We start from the raw sequence: 22,020 nt of genomic DNA, 5'->3' as shown, positions 1-22,020 counted from the left end.
GTTTTTTCCTCTGGAGTTTAACAAGCCTTTTTCCTTGTATAATGCCCCATGTACTTGGAGGGTTAAGAAGGCATACTGAGAGTCAGTGTAGATGTTCACAGTCTTACCTACACTTAGTTCTAAAGCCTGAATTAAAGCAATGAGTTCATCCTTCTGGGCTGAAGTACCCTGGGGCAATGATTGGGCTTCAATGACAGTATCCAGGGTTACCACTCAATATCCTGCATATTTTTCTCCTTGTGGGTTGATGAAGCTGCTCCCATCCACATACAGCTCCCAGTCCACTGATGCCTAAGGCTGGTCCCAGAGGTCAGGTCTGCTAGAGTAAACTGAGTCTAGCACCTCTACACAGTTATGCTCGACAGGGCTTTCTGATACTGAGAGCAAGGTGTTGGGGTTCAGGGTGTTACAAACTTCAATGGTTATGTGGGGATTTTCACAGAGCAAGCCTTTGTACTTGGTTAGTCTAGCATTCGTTAGCCAATGATGTCCTTTGGTATTCATTAAAGTCACCACAGCATTGGGGGGCTTTTATGTTCAGGTTTTGCCCAAGAGTCAGTTTATCTGCTTTTTGTTCTAGCAGGGCAGTTGCTGTTAAGGCCCTCAAACATGGGGGGCAACCTTTAGAAACCCCGTCTAGTTGTTTAGAGAGGTAGGCCACCAGCCTCGGCCAGGGTCCCACAGTCTGGGTCAAAACCTCAACTGCCATTTTTTCTCTCTCTGATGCATATAGTGTAAATGGCTTTGTCAGGTCAGGCAGACCCAGGGCTGGGGCTGACATGAGTTTTTCTTTCAACTCACAGAAGGCTTGCTGCTGTTGAGACCCCTATTCAAAAGGTTCGTGGTCGCCTCCCTTTGTGACTTGGTACAGAGGTTTGGCCAGTACTGCCAAGTTTGGGATCCATAACCTGCAGAACCCCACAGCTCCTAAGAATTTTCTCACCTGCTGTCTGGTCTTAGGCTCCGGTAGGTTGCAAATGACCTGCTTTCTTTCTGATCCTAGGCTGCGCTCCCCCTGTCGGATAGTAAATCCTAGGTAGTGTACCTGCTGTCTGCAGATCTGAGCTTTCTTTTTGGACACCTTATACCCACAGTCCTCCAGGTGCCGGAGCAGGCCATCTGTTCCTTTGACGCACCCAGTTGCTGTGGGGTGTCCCAGCAGGAGGTCGTCGACACACTGGAGCAACACACAGCCTGGGTCTCTGGCGGGAAACTTTTGCAGGTCTTGAGCCAGGGCCTCCCTGAAGATAGTGGGGGAGTTCTTGAACCTTTGGGGAAGCCAGGTCCAAGTGTACTGAGTGGTGACACCTGACCCCGGATCTTCCCACTGGAAAGCAGACAATTTCTGGCTCTCAGGAGCTAGTCTGATGCTAAAGAAAGCGTCCTTCAAGTCCAGGCGGGTGAACCAGCTGTCCTCAGTACATGAGCAGCTGGCGGCAGTCAGCCTAAGTAGGGTTATGAGTCTGGATAATAGTTTAGAGCAAATTAATTAAGGCTTGAGGCTTTTTAGTATAAGCTGGGGTATTCTTTCAGTTGAGGAGATCAGCAGAGGTGAAGGGTTGATACACAAAGGCACACCTTTCTACCATATGCCCGTCCTTGTCTACCCCAGTATATCACTGCTCCGTCAGGGGCATTTGCATAGCTCGAGCACGGCCAGATTTGAGACTGCCTGCTTGACTATCTTGACTTCCTTCCCTGGCCTCTCGCGGCTCTGATCCTCCCCTTTGAGGTGAGACCTGGAGCATGTTAGCTCCTGAACCTGGTTCCTGGGGGGCTGCTGGCCTCTGTAAAGCGGGGGTAGGCTGGGACATATGGAGGGAGAATTTCTGTTACCTCTGGCGGCTCCTGCAAAACTGGTTTCTCTTGTTGTTTCTGGGATTTCTTCTTTTAATTCTGTCTGCTGGCGAAGCTGCTCTTACTGTTACTTTTTTTTTTCTTTTTTTTTTTTTGCAATAAGCTGTTAAACAGGGCTGGATCTATGCTGGTTTTGTCTATATTATGTTTAACTATGAGTCACTCTAAAGGAATTTGGTCTGGGTACACTGGCTCTGACCCCTGTCACCACCTGAAATACATGGCCAATTGTTCCCTGTCTGTAGTTATTTCTGTTGGCCATCCAACACCAAAAGAGGGCAATTCTAATTTACATTCACAGAGAGTTCTCACCTGTGAGGGGTTAGCTTAACTCTGTAATCCCCTGCACAACCTTTTTTAAGGTTCTGTAACGTGCACTTTAATAGAGTAAATTTTGGATGTTTTGATGACTTTTTTCTTATTTTTTTGTATATGTATATTTTTTAACATAGTTCCTAGCAGGGTGGGCTTACTTTCTGTCTAACTTATTTTTTATTTTTATTTTTTGAGACAAAACAACACTCACACTACAAGAAGGAAAGGGTAAAAGGTCACTCACTTGTCTAATTCACACTAAATCAAAATTAAAACCAAAGCAAGTGTCGATAAAGGCACGCCTGTTCATCAAGCAATTCAAGCCAAGTCAAAATCAAAACCAAAACCAAAGTGCCAATAAAGGCACACTGTGGGTGATCAGGCCACGCTTCCACTCAGATGGAGTGGGCAAGTTCCTAAGACCAGTCTTACCATATTCCAGATGTCCAACTCCAAGCGTCAGTTCCTTCGCAGTGTTCAGCCACTGCATTGATCCTCCGTGGGGGACTGCCATGCACCGCTCTGATGAGGTGTTCCACCAGGACAAATGCCTACCCCGGAGCGCTCTCAGGATCTGCGTCGCTCAAGCTGGCTGGAGTCCCCCCCAGGGATGCTCCAGAGGGCAGGCCTAAGCCACCTAAGGGGCTACCTCTACCATCTGTTAATTACCTCGCTTCCCGGTCAGGGAACCAAGAAATGTAGCAGGACGAGCTGCAGACAAAACCCCTCTGACACCAGGTTAAAGAAGGAAGTGGCTTTATTTGGCCAGGAGCTTCAGCAGACTTGCGTCCCAAAACCGAGCTCCCCGAGAGAGAAATGCCTGCCCTTTTAAGGGCTTACAGCTCTAAGGGGGTCCATGTGAAAGGGTCATGATCAATTGAGCAAGCATGGGGTACGTGGCTGGGGCTGCATGTATCAGCAATCAAGACAGAACAGAACAGAACAGAAAGCTTCACAATGCTTCCTTATACAATGCCTGGAATCTGTAGATAATACAGTGGTTAGGTCAGGGGTTGATTTTTAACTACCAGACCAGGCCTGGGGTGTGGCGCTGGGCTGTCTGACTATTGATCTCATTTTTGCCTTTCTTTAGCTTTTACTTCCTCTTTCTTTTTCTGAGGTATGAGACAATAAGAGAGGTGGTCTCCTTCCTTATCGTGAGAGCTGTGACAGAAGTGTATGTAGGTGTCACAGGAGCTTGGGAACAGGCGGGATCAGGCAGTGCTAGAGGTGTTAAGGGTTAAGGAGTGAGTTGGTGGAGATGTGGCTGGGGTACCAGGAGGACTTCAGGCAAAGGCACCCTGTGAGCCTGCTGTGTGTCGGGAGTCACAGCAGTGTTGTCAGAAGTGGAACTGGGATTCTAGCAGTAGCGGAACTAACACCAGAAGGCATCCTTTGAAGTCGCGTGGAGGCTTAATAAGATTACAGTCACCTGAATGTTAATTTTACTTCTTTTTGGATTTTTATTTTAATAAGTAAGGGGTTTATCTTTCTCATGTCATGTGGACTGTGGATGTCGGTGAGTCCAGAGCCTAACAAAATCATGAAAGAGCCAGAGCCCTTCATCCTACTGCTCCCCTTCCCACAGTATGGTGCTTTCGTCCTCCTGGTTGAGGTGGAAAAGGGAAGAGTGGAAAGAAAAAATGTTCTCATGAGTCTTTGTTTTTGAGTTTTTTAATTGGAAAGAATTTTAACTACTGAAAAGCTGCTTTCATCTGTAGTCACCAGCTTTGACATTATGCTGCATTTGTATGTGTTCTCTTTCTCTCTCTTTCTGAGCTGCTTGAGAATAAGTGGCAGACATTATGACCCTGCAGCCCTGAATACGTGGGCACAGATCTCCTCAGAGGTAGGATGTTCTCTTACGTAACTGAGGTCCATTGATGCAATATATAGTGCGTACTCAGACTCATGGTTTTGGTAAAATTGATTCTTAAATGATAATCTAAAAAAACTTTGCAATATTTTAATAAATTCAAGAAGCTATACCTTAAGAAATAATGTAAATGATCTATTATAGAAACAAGTTAGCCACTAGAAGATCCATCAGAACAAAACAGGAATGTAATTGATACTGCTAGTGAGAATATCTTAGTTGAACGAAGTCTAGACATGTTTTTCTTGTTCTTCTCCAAGAATAGTTTGTTTACAAGAAACAAATACCTACCGAAGTTAGCTTAAATATAAGGAGACATGTGACAAGGATATCAGGTGGCTCACAGAATCTAAGTTAAGTGAAGTCACACAGTCCACTGAAACTGGAGACCAGAAAGCTGGTGGGAAGTGAGCCAGGCAGTAGTGTTTTCCACCTCCCATTCTTGCGTGGTTTCTACATTCATAGCCAGGCTGTTCACTTCTTCTCTGTAGACTGCTTTTCCTGCCCAAGACCCTGTCATGATTGCTCTAGAGGCATAGGCTGAGCTGTGTCATCATGATGTTCTAGCTCAGCTTTCCGCATCAGCTGACATGGTTTGGGTATGCCCTTCCAAATTCCTGGGTGCAGGAAGCTCCCTTGCTTCCTGCCTGGCCTGTTCATTGGCCAGTTGTCTCTCCTTTACCTGCTGAGTGAAGCCAGAGTGGGAGGATGACCTGGGCTAGTACAGTACCTGAGGCCCATTCCTCAGAGGACTTTGAAGGACTTCCACAGAGCTGCGGCTGGACTTTCTGCCCTGTCTGCGGGGCAGTTCTCCTGGTAGCCTTGGACAGACCCAATTCTGTCTCCTTTCTCACTTGTAGTTTACAAGAATAACTGTGGATATGCCGGGAATGTAATATCCCCAGATAGGGAAGGACAGCCTGGAATAGCCTGGGCTCCATTCCACACTCCCTTCCTCCCCACAGCAGGGTGAGCTTCAGCACATTAGCCCAGCACATCATGTGGCCCCCAGGGTGTAAAACTCAGGGTGGGCTACTTCCTGGGGTCCTTCAGCTGCCTTGGAAGTGAGGCATGCACAGATGAGACTTCATCTGCCCTGGGCTGCTTTCTTGCACGTTGGGGGACTGGCTTGCCATGGATCCCAGGCCTCTGTTGTCCCTTGCTTCCTATCTGTAAGTAATAAATCTGCTTCATATAGCCTCTTGGGTGTGGGTGTTCTGTTTCTCCAAATTCAGCCAAGTTGGTAACCAGTGCACAGTGAACCTGTTTCATATTTTCTTCTTCCTCTCTTCCAAAATATCAACTTCACTTTTTTCTGGTCTGGTCATCCTAATTTTAAAGACAAAAAGTATAACTTAAAAAAAAACAACAAAAACTGGGCTGGCCAAAAAAAACATGTGGTGCTAGTCTCTTATGTTTGTTGTGGGGAGGTTTGAGGAGGGCAGCTGCTCTGGCCCAAAGGTTTTCAGCCTCTGCCCTCGAATCTCCAGCTGTCGGTCATCAGCCAAGAGCGGAACTGGAACAACAAGACTAATTGTATTAATTATTAATTTGTTCATTAAAGGTTTATTGAGCATTTGTTTTGTGTCCAGTCCTGTTCTAGGCTATGGTGATGTACGTTTCTGCCCTCATGGAGCTAGAATCTGTTAGTGGGAGGACCAACAAGTACAGAAAATGACAGCACAGTGTGTTGCATGCTTAGATAGGACCGAGCTCTGCATCCGTTGGGGAAAGATGAGTGAAGTGTTTATCTTGGTTGTGGTGAAATCAGGACTGTCTTCCTGGAGGCAGGCGGCCTGTGCTGAGGCCTTAAGCAGGAGCTGACCCATGTGATGAGGAGGAGGAAGGCAGGGCTTTGTGCTTTGCTGGCCTTCTGTTAGCTCACATTTGTTGCCCACCTCAAGGTAGCACCTAACAAATGCCGTCGAGTGGATGGCGTTGCCAGAAGGGACAAAGCAGGGGATCTGCATGGAATTCTGTTGCCTAGAGGAGCACAGCCCAGTGAAATTGTAATGCGAGCAACACAGGAGAAATGTAAAAATTTCAAGTAGCCATATTTTGAAAAGTTAAAAAAAGTGGAGTTAATTTTAATAATATTTTATTTCACCCAATATTTCTACATTATTTCAACGAGTAATCAGTGTAAAATTTTCTAATGAGATATTTTCCATTTTTTTCACACTGAGTCTGAAAAATCTGGCAAGTGTTTCACACTCAGCACAGCTGAGTCTGCATGTGCCCCCTTCCTGGGGCTCAGTAGCCACCCATGCCGAGTGGCTCTTGGCCCCTGTAAGGCTGAGGATGGAGGCTGAAGGGGTGAGTTGGGAGAGATGTGGCTGCTGAGGTAGGGGAACCTTCCTTGTCACATTAAGGAGTGAGGACATTTTCCCGGAATAATGGAAGCAATTAGAGGACTGAACAGGCGGCTACCGTGAGAAGGCTTGTGTTTGACGTCACCCTGCCTGCTGCGTGGCAAGTTCAAAGGCAAGGAAACCAGGTGGGAACTCTTAGATCACTCTAGAGATGAGGCAGTTGTTCCCTAGGTAATAATGGTGATAGCAAGGACAGAGGAAAGAAGACCAGTTTTTTTAGTTATTAAAAATATGGAAGTGACAGGACTTAATGATTGCATGGAGCTGGTGGCGAATGAGTCACATCAAGATTGGCAGTCTGGCTTCCGAACTGCAGCTGGATGTGTTCCATTGACTCACACAGGAATGTAGATGGAGGAACAGGATTGGGGTGGCACTGAGGAGTTCATTTTTTAGACACATTGAATTTTATGTTTCTGCGTTCTAGCCAAGGAGAAATTCAAAAGCTGGAAATATAGGTTTGGAGTTCAGGAGTAAGATGTAAGCTAGAGCGACATATTTAAAGTAATCAGTGGAGTGAGAGTGGAAGTCGTGGAAGGGGATGAGATTACCTGAAAAAATGTGTGTAGAACAGGAGCTCTTCACTGGGGAGGTTTTGGATTAACTCCCTGCAATTGTATGCAGTAGGAGAAGAGCGCATGCTTTCCACAGGAGTCTCAAAGAGCTGTGTGATCCAAGAAAGGCTGAGAACCACCTGCTGCCATGGACTCTGACAAAACATGGAATGGGCTGACAGAAGAGGAGTAGATTTTACCCAGGGAGGGTGGGGTGGTAGCAGTTAAGACCTTAACTGCTTAACTCTAGGGAGAACTGGCTGGAAAATTAGGTGAAAACCAGGAACATGTGCTGTTAGGGAAGGAAAGGAAAACAAGTATATTTCAGGAAGGATGGAGTAGTGGTGAGCAGTGTAAAATAAGCCGAGAGGATGAGGAAGGAAGGACTGAAAAGTATGCAGTGGGTGCAGCAGCGAGAAGGCCATTGGCCACCTGGGCCAGGTAATTGATGGAGGCAAGGCCCTGAAGAGCCAGGATGGGATGGTTACTTAGGGAAAGTAACCAGGTGGGACTGTCTACCATTAAAAGCGTGGAAAACTTTCCTGCCGATACTCCTTCTACTAGTGAGACTAAAACATCTGTCCAGACTAGCTCAGATCAACTAACTTAGCAAATACATGTTTATTGAAAGGAATTGCTAATTCAGAGGTGGGGTGAGGTGTCCAATTCATGCCGAATAAGTGTTTTCCTCATAACTAAAGATTTGACTTGTTATGGTCCAAACTTGTGATTTGGGAGTGGAAGTGGGGCTAGATAGTGGGGACGAAGCAGAGCCATTCTTTAAACATGGTCAGAGTATTCCCTGGTCTTTCTCCATGATCTTGTGTGCCACAGATAGCAGGAGGGAGCGGAGGGAGACAGTCCTATTTCAGATGATGGAGGGAAGAGAATTAGCATTATTGAGGCACTAACAAGGGATGTTATCTTTTGAATCTTTACACATCTCTACAGTAGATGGGTAGATGTTCTCCTGTTTAGAGATACTTCTCTTTTTTATGCCTTAGGGTTTCAAATATACAGAACTAACTTGGCGGTGATAGAATGCATTTGTTGTTTGAATCTCTGTTCTTCAAATAATGTTCTGAAGTTCCTCTGGGTAGCAGGGTAGAATAGTATCTATTCAGAACTTGATAGTCATGATTTACTTTAATCTTGTTGAAACCTTGTTGAAATCTCTGTCAAAATCAAAAATTTTAAGTACCTTAGATTTAAAATATTATATACTTAAAAAAATTGTTACTGTATAAGAATAGTCTTTTCATAATGTGGCAGCTAAGGACCAGTTAGTTTCCTGAAATAAATTTTTAATTTGAAGCTTTAAGGGAAAAAAGCTTCCAATTTGGAAAAAATTGTTAGAAATTATTTTGCCATTATGTCATGTTAAATGAGAGCAAATATAAAGTATGGGTATATAATCAAGGTTGATTATTAAATATAAAAGTAGATGTTAAGGGATGTCTATACAGCAGTTTACTGTTGTTGAAAGTGTTCTTATTTGTGGCATAGCACTAGAAAGAGTAACAACTTTTTCAAAGAATAGGCAACTTGTATTATGTGGCTTGTATTAATGTTTTTAATGGAATAATCTTTGGATGGTTTTGAGTATAAGTTGTGGTCTAAAATGTTTAAAACAGAGTTTTGATTTATTTTACATTTTGCTAATTAAAAATTTTGCCTAGTTTTTTCCCACTAAATGATTTCTTGTCAACGGTCAGCGCCCTTCAGACCAAATTGTTCATATATTATGCTTTTAGGAACATCATTAACATGCAGTTTGAAACTTAGAGCTCTTTATAAAGGAGAACATACAAGCAAGTCATCATACTCTGGCATTTTTCTCCCAGCTGTTTTTGTCTGTCTCCCTCTCCTTTCTTCCTTCTCTTTGTTTAAATTGTGCTAATCTCCCAGTTGGGGTAGATGATAGTATTATGTGGTCCTAATGTATTTTAACCTTGCTGACTGTCTTTTTGGGCACTCAAGATTTTCTCTGTCATATGTTGTTAAACTTTATTTTGTTGGTTCTGGCCTGATATCACAATCTGCCTTTCCACTCATCTTTGTGTAAGGGAATTAGATGGGGCATCCTAGATGACAGATTAGCTGTCAGGTGGAAATTGAGTCAAGACTGCTGCGTGCTTAGACAAACCACAGACAAACCACTGAGCAAAGTGTCTTTGTTTATTTTCTGATGCTTGTAATAGAATACCTGAAACTGGGTAATGTCTAAAGAAATGGAATTTATTTCTTACAGTTATGGAGTTTGAGAAGTCAAGGTTGAGGGGCTGCATCTGTTGAGGGCCTTCTTGTTGGTGAGGACTCTGTAGAGTCCCACGGTGGCACAGGCGTCACATGGCCAGGGGGCTGAGTGCCCGCTCATGCTAGCTCAGGTCTCTCTTCCTCTTCTAATAAAGCCACAGTCCCACTCTCATGATAACTCGTTAATCTATTAATTCATGAATGGATTAATCCGATCATGAGGGCAGAGCTCTCATGACCCAGTCACCTCTTTAAGGCCCCTCCTCTCAATACTCCCACATTGGGGATTAAATTTCAACATGAGGTTTGAAGGGGACAGATACTCAAACCATAGCAGAAAGTTTCAGAATTCCAATATTTGGGAAAAAATATTAGTTCTATTGTCATATGTCTAGATTTATTTAAGTTTGTAGGTAAGCTGTTACCTAAATATATTTTAAATCCAGGTTGACTGATCTAGTCACATATACACTGGCTTTAATGCAAGTATATCTAGTATAGGTGCTGTTATTTTTTTTTTTTTCTTGCAGACAAGGTTATGTCTCAAGGATAGTTATTTTTGTTCAAGAGAACAGTAATCGGAAGGATAGGTTCATCTAATGATGTAACAGAAACCCCAAATACCATGACTTAAATGAGAGAGAGATTTGTTTTTATCTTACATCCAGGGGTGGGCTGGGCAGACCAGAACTAGACATGCGCAGAGATCCAGGCTTCTTCAGCTCAGCGCACTGCCGTCCCTGGGGCGTGGCCTCGTCCTCTTGGCTGTCGGGGTGGGGCGGGGAGGAGGGGGAGGGGGGAGGAGGGAGGGGTGTTCCAGGCCGTGGGGAGGCTCCTGGAAGTTGCCTCTCAACACTTCCATCTTATATCGTATGGCCCTTACTCAGTCTTCTGGCCATATGTAGCTGCAAAGGAACTGGGAAATGAAATCTTTCCTCTGATAGGCTATGTGGCATACTAAGATGAAAGGGTTCTGTTATTGAGGAAGAAGGAGAGAAAAAGGATATTAGGGAACATTAGCAATCTCTTCCCCAGGAGTTATAAATCTATACTCATCTGTACTACATTATAAATAATTGCTTTGATTTTAATTCTTAGGTTTTGGGGGGCCATATGACCTACCCCACTGGCAGATAATTCAGAATGCTGTGGTTGTGCTTGGGTTTCCGGACCTTTTAATGCCCTTCTTCCTTTCAGAGTTTGAGAAAAGTCTTGTAATCCCTTGTTTGTAGGTTTTTGAAAGTTAATATTTGATAATTCGGATGGCATAGGCATTGCCCAGGATTTTTGTTTTAATGTTTGAAATGTTTAAGAAAATGAAACAACTGAAGTAGTTATACTACTTTTGTTAGCTTACTTAGAAAATAGTAAATTGTAGATTGCATTTAAATGAAATTTAATTTAATTTAAAAACTGGTTTTTGACAGAGGGGGTTGGTGATAGTAGGTCCATTCATCACCTACTTGTAAAGTTTATATTGGATTTACAAATTTAAACAAGTCTAACTTTTCTGTTTACTGTTTTGAGTAAAGCTAGAGCTAGATGGTTCATCCCACGGTGAGGCAGCAAGCACATACTGCGTTGTGACCCCATGGGAAGGACTCAACGGCCACGTGACCACGTGGAGAGCAGGCTTAGGCCTAGGAGGGTTCTGGGCAGAGAGGAGATGGGGACTGTGAACAGAAGGAGGAAGTGTGGGGGAGAGCTGTGCATGCAAACACATCCAGGTAGGGAGATCCTCACCCAGCAGGGGAATTACCAGACAGCTGGAGTCTGTTATGAAGCCAAAATAAAGTTGGAGACATGCATAGTGGCCACATCACGATAAACCATCTTTGCCTTGATGTTCTGAATTCTTTCCTGAAGGCTGTGGAAAACCACCGAGGGGTAAAATAACAGTGTCATTTTAGCAAGGCCATTTTAGAGACAGTGGTTGTGGGGAGGGTACTGGATTTTGGATTGTAAAAGACTAGAGGGAAAAGACCAGTAAGGAGGCTGCAGATCCAATCCAGCCATGGTGAGAGGTGGGATCAGGGGTGAGGAGGGTGGGAGAGATTCAGTATATGGAGGAGAGAGGATCTGTGAGACTTGTATACCAGTTGGATGTGGAGGAGAAATCAGAGGGAGGAGGCCAACAACTTCCCAGGTTTATCCTTGACATTCTTAGTTACCAAACAAAATCACACACACAAATTAAAAACCTCTGTCACCTTCTATGTAGTGTGCCAAAGTTGTATAATCTGCTTTATTCTTTTAAGTAGCTCTGAGACTCATTTCAGGTGATTATAATTCATATTGAAGAAACATCTGGCCCACGTGTTGTGGTTTGTTTTAGTTTTTGCATATCTTGTGGGAAAATGGATTCTCTAAAGAATAATTTTGTAGGCTAGGAGATTCTTCAAGTATAATTATAAAGCTGATTTAATTCACTTTCTACTACATATCATTAAAACATTGAACTAGTCTTCTAAAATATTGTTTCTTCACTGTGGATTTAGTTGAGCTTTCTTATGTTATACGCAGATTCTAATGAAAAATAACTTTAAATTTTGTTTGAGCAATTCCGCAGTTAGATTATGGAGTAGTTGGTAGGTTTAACTGCTGAAGACTTTGTCTCTACTGCTGTTGCAGCACATTTTCCTTTAGGAGAAAGATGCATCCTTTTCCAGGTCTAACTCTCCTGTAGGACTCTTCAACTACCGTTTATTCAACAATCATCGATTTCTTAGTTTATACCAGGAACTGATCTGAAAAGTGGAAGGTGATATAAATGGGACACCATCTCCACTGTCATACGCTCTCAGTCTTTCTAAATATAATTCAAGAAAAAGAGGTCTGCAATAAGTCTTAAATGTGGACTTTGCTTACGTGCTATCTTTGTAATAAATAGAAAATAAACGTTCTTATTAGAAGTCCTCATAACTGCACAGGCATTTCTCCCACACTGCACGTTGCATAACTGGATCTGTATGTAGTGCAGTTGGCTAGGGTCATGCCCTGTGTTGTGCAGGCTGCTTTTGATTATAACCACTTGCTGATCAGGAACCAGCATTTAAAAGGTAAAGGAGTGTTTGCTGCCAACTCCAATGCTTTGAGTGGCTCAGTGCGTTGCCTGCCCATCATAACCACACGTTGGAAAAGCCATGAAGCACAGAAGATGCTGCCGATCTGTGACAGGGCTGGTAGTAGCAGGGGAAGAGGACAACTCTTGAGCATAGCCAGAGATAAAGAAACGCACACTTTGTTTAGTGGCATTTAGATTTTACAGCTTGTTAAAAAGGAAAAGATTTGATTAGTGGAATTCCTGTAGGAAAAAATAACTTTGTTATTGCAAATTTTACATAAATTGCTTTTAGAATACACTCTTTAACGCAATTTCTTTTAAAATGTACATTTTTGTTTCTTAGGACTACAACTCCTATAAATAGACTCGAATAGACTTTTAGAATCACTGATCTCTTTTTCCTTTTTAATTTCATGGATCACCTCTTTAGGGAGACTGCTAATCTATTAGTCTTTGAATTCAGATGCTGTTAGAAGGTGAAGTGTCTAGTGATTATGAAAATATGTTTGAGAAAATAAATTGAGGATTTGCACTGTGATGTTCTTAATCTTTTTTATTCTCCCAGCTGTACAATAATATGTCTCCACCCAGTGAGAGGTAGAATAATGTACCATGAGGTAGTACTATTAGTCGTTAAAACTATGAATTTTGAAATTAGACTTGGTACCAGTACACTCCCCACTAATCTAGTTGTCCTAACCTTACAACATGTCAGTTATCATTGCTAAACTCGAGTTACGTATCTATAAATTGGGCTCATCTGTACCTTTATGGGTATTCTTGTGAAGAGTACATAAGAAAATGTATGTCAAGCAGCTAGTGCAGTGCTTAGTAACTAGCAGGCACTAAAAAATGGTACATATTGTGATGTTAAATACTGTTTTTCCTAGGCTGACATAAAAATACTGTAGAAAGAGTTGGACTATATAGTACTTACTCTTGGAATTTAAATGTTTTTGTAAATTAGATACAGATGAGAGAGGGCACTGTGGTTTTTATATGGTTCAGCTGTTATGTAGGAAAAACAAAATTTGTTTTTTTTCAGTTCATAAAAACAAAGTTTGCTTTGAGTTCAAAATCATGATAAAAGCCAGAGGAATCGCTAAATTTATAACTAAACTATAGTGAGTTAGCATTAAAGAAAGCAGAGCTATGTAAAATTATTGATGATTTATTTTTCCCCTTTACCAAATATAAATCTGTATTATAAACAACTATAAAGTTTATATTTTCTAAGATAAATTGTGTTTATATATTTAGAAAAGAATAGTTTGTTAATGATTTACATTATACCAGCTTGTTTTCCACAACAGGATAGGTAAAGATTAAGAAACGTAATTATGACTCAGTTGTAGTTTTAATGATCGTTATGACAAACCCACAGAAGTAGGCTATAGAATTCCAAGAACATTATGATTTTAGTTATGAAAAATTTGCACACTAAAGGAAGACTAGAGAAAACAGTACAAAAATGCTGCTAACAGTGGGTTTTCTACTTGGCTTTGTGGACAGGCAAGGCCAAAAAAGGAAAATAAAAGAGACTTAGTAGTTTTCATTGATTAATATATTTGTCAGTAGAAAATCACTTTTTTCCTATCACTAAGTTACACAGCTGAAGTTACCATGTGTCAAGTTATATAGGTAAAGTTAGCATGTTGAAACACTATTATAGTCAGTGTCTTCAATTATAGTTTTAAAGAAACATTTGTAATGTTTGAGTCTTTAAGCAACTAAATACACTGTGAAGGTAAGGCATTTGATTAGAATGGGTAATGGTCTTCCTGTTGTTTGAAGAGTTACTATAGCTAAGTAAGTGCTTCCTGGTGCCCTAGCTCCTAGCAGAATAGAAGCTAGATAGTCAGTCACCTTCAGAATGCCCCTGTCAAGCCTCAGGCACCTTGTGCCTTGTGGGAAGTGGAAGTCAGTTTTTCAGTGTTTCTTCATCAGATGTAAACTCTTTTGCAGCAGTATGATCTCTTTTGTGAGCCGTTTATGTACTTGGGTTTTTAAAAAGGGGAGTAGGTTTTCAGACTGCCCTTTTTTCAGTTTCAGAGATGTTGAGATCCCAGGAGATTTCAGGTGTGGATGAAGTTAAAGAGAAGAAAAATATTGCACCTCACAAATTTTGCATCTTAGGTGGCAGAAGCAAAGATTTAATGTCACATTCCTATAGATTGCTTGTATAAGTCAGGCACCTTTTGACTGAATTATAAGTTGAAATTTTATTGTATTGATCTTCATGTATTGAGGATGACTCAATACCCAGATTAATTCACAAAAGATCTCCTTGCATCCTTTGTTCTAGATATATTATTATCCCCTGAGGTAAAATCTATACTAGTTTTTGCTTTTGCCTGACAGTAGTGTAATTTTAACCTGAAGAAATTTTTCACACCCACTTGTTGTTTTCTAATTTATGAAAAAGGAAGTGTCTGCCTTCTGCACCTTTCTGAGCTCTTACTGGAAGCCAGGCAGCTCTGGAATAGAATAGGACCAGAGCCCTGAGTAGGCGCTTTGCTCACTTAGCTCTTGGGCAAGTTAATGAAGTTTTCTGAGGCCCTGTTTCCTCTTTTGTAAAAGGGAGAAGATATTAATAATACCCAGCTCACAGGGTGCTCTAAAATGAGAGGGGAGAATGTGTGGGCATACCTGTGATAAAGCTTCCATGGTGGCTCGGAACGCGGTCCAGATGGCAACAGCCATCCTGTGTTCCCAGCTTCAGGCCCTCGATGGCAGGACCCCCTGTGCCTGGCACAGAGGATTCAGAGGCAGGCTTGTGTCCCCCAGTCTTGGGAATGTTTTCATTGACTACATAATGTCATTCGACATTCAGGGGAGCAAGCTATAGTATTTTATAAGCTGGCCAGGTGCAGTGATCCTAGCACTTTGGGAGGCCAAGGCAGGCAGATCACGAGGTCAGGAGTTCGAGACCAGCCTGGCCAACATGGCAGAACCCCATCTCTACTGAAAATACAAAAATTAGCCGAGCGTGGTGGTGCGTGCCTGTAATCCCAGCTACTCGGGGGGCCAAGGCAGGAGAATCACTTGAATCTGGGAGGTGGAGATTGCAGTGAGCTGAGATCACACCATTGCACTCCAGCCTGGGCAATAAAGTGAGACTCAGTCTCTAAAAAAATAAAAATAGAATAAAATACATAAAAGCCAAGTTCGAAGGAGTGGATTTTCCCCAAAGTTCGTATAGGTTAGGTGTTTTTAATACCCTTTTCAGTGGAGCCACAGTTCAGTTCCTCCTGGTATGTTAGAAAGCCATCTAACACCCCACATGCCATAACAAACAACAATTTCAAGAAAGCTTGAGGAGGAAATTGTATTCTTCTTTCCATGAATCCTGTCTGGGCTCTTCTCTTGCTGGGCTTTTGGCATTTTGACCTACAATACTCAAACCAGGCTCACAAAGTTCCACCTGGGGCCCCTGATGTGCAGGTTCTTAGTTGGACCCTTTTTCATCTATATGAGTCCTTGTTCTTCCCCCAAATCCAAATTACATGAACTGTCAACTAGGCAGAAGAAAGGAGGTGCTGATTTTTCTATGTGTCACGTACTTAGGTCAGGAAGAAGTAGATGCCTCCGGGCTACCTTGTATGTACGAATAAACGAGAGTGAGCCTGGCCGGGTATGGTGGCTCACGCCTGTAACCCCAGCACTTTAGGGGCTGAGGCAGGCATATCACTAAAGCCCAGGAGTTAGCGTCCAGCCTGGACAACATGACGAAACCCTGTCTGTACAAAATATACAAAAATTAGCCAGGCATGGTGGTGAGCACCTGTAGTTCCAGCTTCTCAAGAGGCTGGGGTGGGAGGATGGCTTGAACCCAGGGAGGTCAAGGCTGCAGTGAGCTGTGACTGCACCACTGCACTCCAGCCTGGGCAATGGAGCAAAACCCTGTCTCAAAAAAAAAAAAAAAAAAAAAATTGTGTAGGAGAGGATGTTACCTGTAATTTATATCTTTGACCAGGAAGAAAAAAATGAATGGAAGATGGTAGGGTGGAAGCTGTGGCTGCATGTGTCTTTACGTTCTCTGCTGGAACAGCGCACCTGTGCTAGGTTTTACTGTCCTACTTTGGCCCCACTTCAAGAGTGTTTCTTTTGTGAAGAAATCAATTATCTTCACCACTTGTTGTCTGCTAAGTATTAGTGAAGTCTGATATGGGGAATGAACTACCCTCAGGCCTCTGGAAGGGATGGAGCAGGTGGGAGCCTGTCTGTGACCAGACGCACAGGACCCTTTGTGATAACTTACCAGTTCCCTGCCTGAGCTCCTGGAGGCTTTCCCATACATTCTTATTAGTCATTTTTGGAAACTTACATTTAGAAGTTGGTCCTTGACATTGGTGCTTTAGGGAGAGAACCACGTCTTACTGTCATTGGAGAGTGGCACAGTGTCTTTGAGTACACTTTTAAAATGTTTTCTAAGGCTCCACACTAAAGAGTCTAAAATTGAAATATTTGAAGACCTCCTTAAAATGAAGCATATCTAACTTCAGGCTTGATTTCTCACATATATGTAGGAAAAATATATTTATAAGTTCTGGAAATTTGCCATAAATATTATTACCTCCACCACCAAGAAAACAAATCTGTGTGACCACAAATGCTCCCAAGTTGCAGGCATTCCCAGAGGAGCAGCATTGATAGTGACTGTAAACTCTTGTTTTTCCTGTCTAACAAAGATGATAGGATGGCTTCCCTTTCAGCCTTTGCGTGAACTTAACTTCTGGTTGGAAATAAGATCCCATTGTCTAAATTATGTCAGCGTAGTTCCTGGTAGCACAAGAATATTAAACACTTTAATGTGACATCCAAAATTAATGAGTCAGTTATAAGAACTTTCCTTGAAGGATGGAAAAGATCATAACCCATTTTCATGTCCTGGGATGCTTCATTCAGTCTCATGGTATTAAAAAATGAACAGCCTTTGGATTGGGGGGAGTGGTGCGTGACACTTCACATGCTCTGGGCCACCAGTTCCTCCTCCCTGCTGCTCCGCCACTGCGTGACATTTCCTTCTTGTCCTCATTCCCAGTGCTTCTGTCTTTTCTGTCTTAAAATCTTTGCTGCTTTGGCCTAGGCGGCAGTAGCAGGGGGAGAGCAGCTCAGGTGAAATGCTTGCCCTCTTCTGGACCACTGTGGAGAGAGGCGGAGTCATATTTACCTGTGTACATCGGTGGCCCCCAAAGGTGGTTTCTTGGCGATGCTCACACAGTTGATAGGCGATAGGCAAGAGACGATGGTATTGACAGTGTACCTGATGCTTGCAGCCCAGCCAGGGCCTCCATACCCAGTGCCTCCTAGAGCCCCCATGGGAATACCCAGGAGGTCATGGAGCTGGAACGTAAACCCACGTCTCTATTCCAAAACTCATGCTTTTTTATAAGAGGAAAACTTTTAAATAGTTTTTTCTTAAAAAGCCTCTTTTTCTTCTTCCTAATTGGTTCTAAAACAAAAGTTTCGGCAAGTGCCTCAAAGGAAAATAGGGACAAGATTGTTTTCTGTCCTGGAATTCACAGTGGTGTCTGTATGTACTTTAGAGCTAAATATGCACATACTGTGGGCACATGCTTATTTTCTGAATGAGAGTGCTCTAAAAGGATTGGGGACCACTGCTCTGAGCCCCATTGCCCCATCTGTGGAGTGAGTGCTGCTACTCAGCTCCTGGGATTGTTCTGTGGTTCTGGGCTGACCGTCTCTGTGTGGGCTTTAGACTGTGCTGGTGCAGAGTGAGTGCCCCAGACCAGTAGCTCCTGATGGTGTGGGGACTCCCAATGCTACTTTTGGTGATTTATTTTCACGTACTCTTGTGTCATCCCAGGGTGAAGATACACATATTCTCTAATAGCAGGACATTTGTTTTTCATTTATGAGGTCATTCAGAATCGTAATTGAGGTGATGTTGAACTTCTTAGATTGCAGAAATGGCAGTAGCAGTAAACAAGACCTTTATCTGAACAGGAAAGTAGTCTTTCCCCAGGAAGTAATTACATTTCCTTGTAATCACCTGTTTGTGTAATCGTAATAACTTTACAAGTTATTCATAAAAATAGGAGAATGACTAGTTTGTCTTTGTCATAACTTGTTTGTGTATGATACATGAAGTAGAATTCATACAGCACAAGTACTTTGGAAATTTGGAAAAGTTTAATTTTCTAGGACTTTTTAGTTATTTTTGGATGTTAAAGTAAGTATATATGACAGTGCATAATGTGTTTCAATTTTGGAAGTGATTCTTTGCTATTGAAATTCTCATTCTCCTTACTTCATTCTTTTTTTTCAGGGAATACCTTGGCAAGCAGCTCCAGTCCGAGCAGCCCCAGACCGCTGCCGCCCGAAGCTAAGCCTGCCTCTGGCCTTCCCCTCCGCCTCAATGCAGAACCAGTAGTGGGAGCACTGTGTTTAGAGTTAAGAGTGAACACTGTTTGATTTTACTTGGAATTTCCTCTGTTATATAGCTTTTCCCAATGCTAATTTCCAAACAACAACAACAAAATAACATGTTTGCCTGTTAAGTTGTATAAAAGTAGGTGATTCTGTATTTAAAGAAAATATTACTGTTACATATACTGCTTGCAATTTCTGTATTTATTGTTCTCTGGAAATAAATATAGTTATTAAAGGATTCTCACTCCAAACATGGCCTCTCTCTTTACTTGGACTTTGAACAAAAGTCAACTGTTGTCTCTTTTCAAACCAAATTGGGAGAATTGTTGCAAAGTAGTGAATGGCAAATAAATGTTTTAAAATCTATCGCTCTATCAATCTATGTCTCTATGCAGCTCTCTGTTCATCTATATATCATCTGTGTATCTACACACACAGACACTATTAGTAGTAGCACAGCTGTAAAATCTTAGTTTTTAACATGATACTGTGGTTCAAAAGATTTGCTTTTGGAGTTCAGTGAGAAGTTTTAGCATTAGATTTATTTTCAGTACTTTTATCCTTGGTTTTTAGTGCCTTAAGTTTGTTTTGTCTTAATACATTTTGGTTTAAGCATTGCCAATATATATTTTATTCTCTCCCCTTTCGTTTCTAGAACCACATCCCTTTAGCAGTACATACATGGCATGCAGGCCTCCTCTGAGGCTTTTGTTTTTGAACCACGTCAGCTAATCTCTCTGAGTCTCATTTTTCATTCATTTTCATGTTTTTTCACTTTTTATTCCTAGCAGTTCTATGAATGTTGAGTAGATGTGCTAAAGCTAATAAAACATTTATTCTAGTAAGTTTTTTCTCCTATAGAAAGCCACTCGTAGAATCCATCTCCTGTTTAAGAATCGAAGATTGTTTCATTTTCAACATAGAAATCCTATGGAAGAAATTAGTTAAAATGATGCATAAATTAGTCAATGGGTTCATATGACTTGAATGATTTTCCTTAAAGGGGTTCATGTTTGCCAGAATAGAGGTAGTGTGATCAAACCAATTTTTTCTTTTACTAAAAGTTTAAAAATTGCTTATGTGTAGTTTACTTTTAGAAACATGGAAAATCATTAAATAGAACGTTTCTCATAGTAATTACAGATACTACATTAGCAGAAGATCAGGTTTCATGTTAATATATTAATGGTCTGTAAAATTTTTAGGATTTTAAGGCACTCAATTTCTAGAAGTCCTAGTAACCAGAGACACGGCCATCTTCTGAATTTCGTAAGAATACATGGATTGTTTGGTGTCATAGTTTCTGATTTTAGTTTCATTTTGCACAGCCCTATAGTTCTAAAGTAGAAATCAGTGACAATTGTTCTTGCAGAAAGTATTAGTGCTTTAGTTCCTAAGAAGTGCTTTTGTACATGGGAAGCAACACTCCCATGTAATCATGCTTTAATTTTTTTTTTTTTTTTACCTTACAGCTTGCATATTTATTGAACAAATACTACTAAAATAGCTAAAATACATTGGGTACTTGTCATGAGTGCATCGGTAAAGATCACACTGTTACAAAAGCCTGCATTTTCAGCAGTATACAGCTGCAACTCTACATAAATGCCACAGATGCAGAATACTGTTTTCTTGCTCTATTTACACAGCTGATATACCTATTCTAACAAAGGAGGGAGAGGAGTAATGCACAAGAAACTCAGGCCAATGGGGGAGCAAGAAGAAAACAAAGAAGTGCAGTGCATGCGTCATCGGTGTTTAACAGTCAGAAGCGAAACAGTTCAGAACAAGGCCTGCCCTGTCAAAAGAAGAGCTAAAAGACAGTTATATAAAAATTAAGGTGGGCTTTCAGACTGGCTAACACAACAACATTCCATGAGTAGATGGTAATTTATTTTTGTTTATCCATTTCGTTGGGAGCAAGGACAAAGATGTAAATCTACACCTTGCTTATCAAAATTGCCAAAAAAGAATGCTCTGCCTTTTAAAAAAGTACCATGATTTTGTAGACATTGTTTTCCAATTTAATATTTGGAAAAGGTGTCATTTTCATATTCCTACTCAGATGCCAGTGTTTTGGGTTTTTTTCAGGGGGAATTTATTTAAAAAGGTTTTGCTCTTTTTTTCCACAAATACCGTTTCAAACAGAAAGAACCCAAAGAGACACCTCAAAATGCCTGTAAAATTATTGCTTTTCTTTCTCTAAGTCAGGCAGGCGAGGCAACGGAAAGGAAGAGATTTGGTAAGTAAATTACAGTTTTGTGATTGCTCCCACTACCGTGACTGCATGTCTGTGGGTGCCAGCCGACGAGACAATCGTCTCTCACACTCTGGTAGCATTCACTCAACCTACAACACTGAGGAAGAAAGCCACACTGAAGACACAAGGAAAACAAGTCAATCCAGTCTAGAGAACAACATTCAGGGAAACAGAGTACCAACACCTTCTTAGAACATGGAAATAAAAAATAACTCCATCAGAGCTACCTCGCCAAGGAGCATGTTGAAAGTCCAAAATAGCACCATTCATCAGTGTCTCAGGTCCTGTGGCAGCATCTCGGTCAGTTACCACAAGGAAACAATGAGTTTCAAACTACTTCTATACATCAAAAGAGTACATGGATAAAATATAGAGATATACAGACAATTGCATAAACTACTAGGTTTGTTACATTCTAAATGAAAAAAAAAGGGGGGACTCAGGAGTGGACCAGTTGTGTGAGCACGGTGGGAGTTTGAGTTGTGGAAGACGTTGTAGCGAACCAGGCCTGAAGGCCCACCTGTAAGGGTTGTAAACGTGGATTCACGGTGTGAAATTCTGAGCATTTTCACTTGAGTCAGAATGATTAAAAACTGGTTTGATGATACCTATTTGTCCACTGTAAATTCTCTAAAGCAAGGCTCAGAGTCACATAGTTTCTTCTTATACTTAATGATTTACACAGAAAAAAATCCCATATATAATACCATGACCTCATCAATACCCATACACCATATGTAATACAAATGGAGGTGTTACGATTAAAAAAAGTAGAGGTAACTGATTCTTGGGGAGCGGAGTTCACTGCTGCCCATTGGAGTCAGGGAGGCAGCGTTTGTCTCATTGTTCTTCTTGCGGTTCACTTTCTTTGGGACAGGAAGTCTTCCCTTAGGAAACCTTCCCTCCATGTCCTTGTTTGGAAATGGTTCTTGACTGACCCAAAGAGTTCTGGGTAGTAAACCATTTTGAGAAGCTTAGTCTTGGGCTTCTATTCTCCCTGTTTTCAGTCCAGAGAGACCAACAGACAAAAGCCCCGCTCCCTGTTCACTCCCTCTCCTCTCTACACTCGG

At 41.7% G+C, this 22,020-nt stretch overlaps 1 protein-coding gene and 1 pseudogene across 5 annotated transcripts in view, besides 2 other annotated features; one reads left to right on the top strand and one right to left on the bottom strand.

Annotated features, from left to right (window-relative positions):
• ATP6V1H (ATPase H+ transporting V1 subunit H) overlaps positions 1-19,068 on the top strand; it is a 127,703-nt gene extending 108,635 nt beyond the window's left edge. For all 5 annotated transcript variants that reach the window (NM_213619.3, NM_015941.4, XM_006716455.4 and 2 more), the window contains one exon: positions 18,587-19,068. In NM_213619.3, the coding sequence (NP_998784.1) occupies positions 18,587-18,647 (61 nt within the window). In that variant the 3' untranslated portion in view covers positions 18,648-19,068. The remainder of the gene's footprint in view (positions 1-18,586) is intronic.
• Positions 5,793-6,992: an enhancer, noted in NCBI's record as "P300/CBP strongly-dependent group 1 enhancer chr8:54640179-54641378 (GRCh37/hg19 assembly coordinates)". NCBI's record gives its function as "activates an origin of replication core promoter dependent on BRD2, BRD4, P300/CBP, MED14 and CDK7 cofactors, with strong dependence on P300/CBP, by STARR-seq in HCT116 cells {active_cell/tissue: HCT116}" and the evidence as "EXISTENCE:reporter gene assay evidence [ECO:0000049][PMID:35650434]".
• Positions 10,740-10,789: an enhancer, noted in NCBI's record as "active region_27358". NCBI's record gives its function as "activates an Ori minimal core promoter by ATAC-STARR-seq in GM12878 lymphoblastoid cells {active_cell/tissue: GM12878}" and the evidence as "EXISTENCE:reporter gene assay evidence [ECO:0000049][PMID:35858748]".
• NREPP2 (NREP pseudogene 2) lies at positions 21,715-21,914 on the bottom strand (annotated as a pseudogene).

The sequence above is a fragment of the Homo sapiens genome, chromosome 8 (assembly GCF_000001405.40).
Source record: "Homo sapiens chromosome 8, GRCh38.p14 Primary Assembly".
In the NCBI taxonomy this organism is placed as follows: Eukaryota; Metazoa; Chordata; class Mammalia; order Primates; family Hominidae; genus Homo; species Homo sapiens.
The sequence above is the reverse complement of the archived record's forward strand: the minus strand, read 5'-3'. Positions and strand labels throughout refer to the sequence as shown.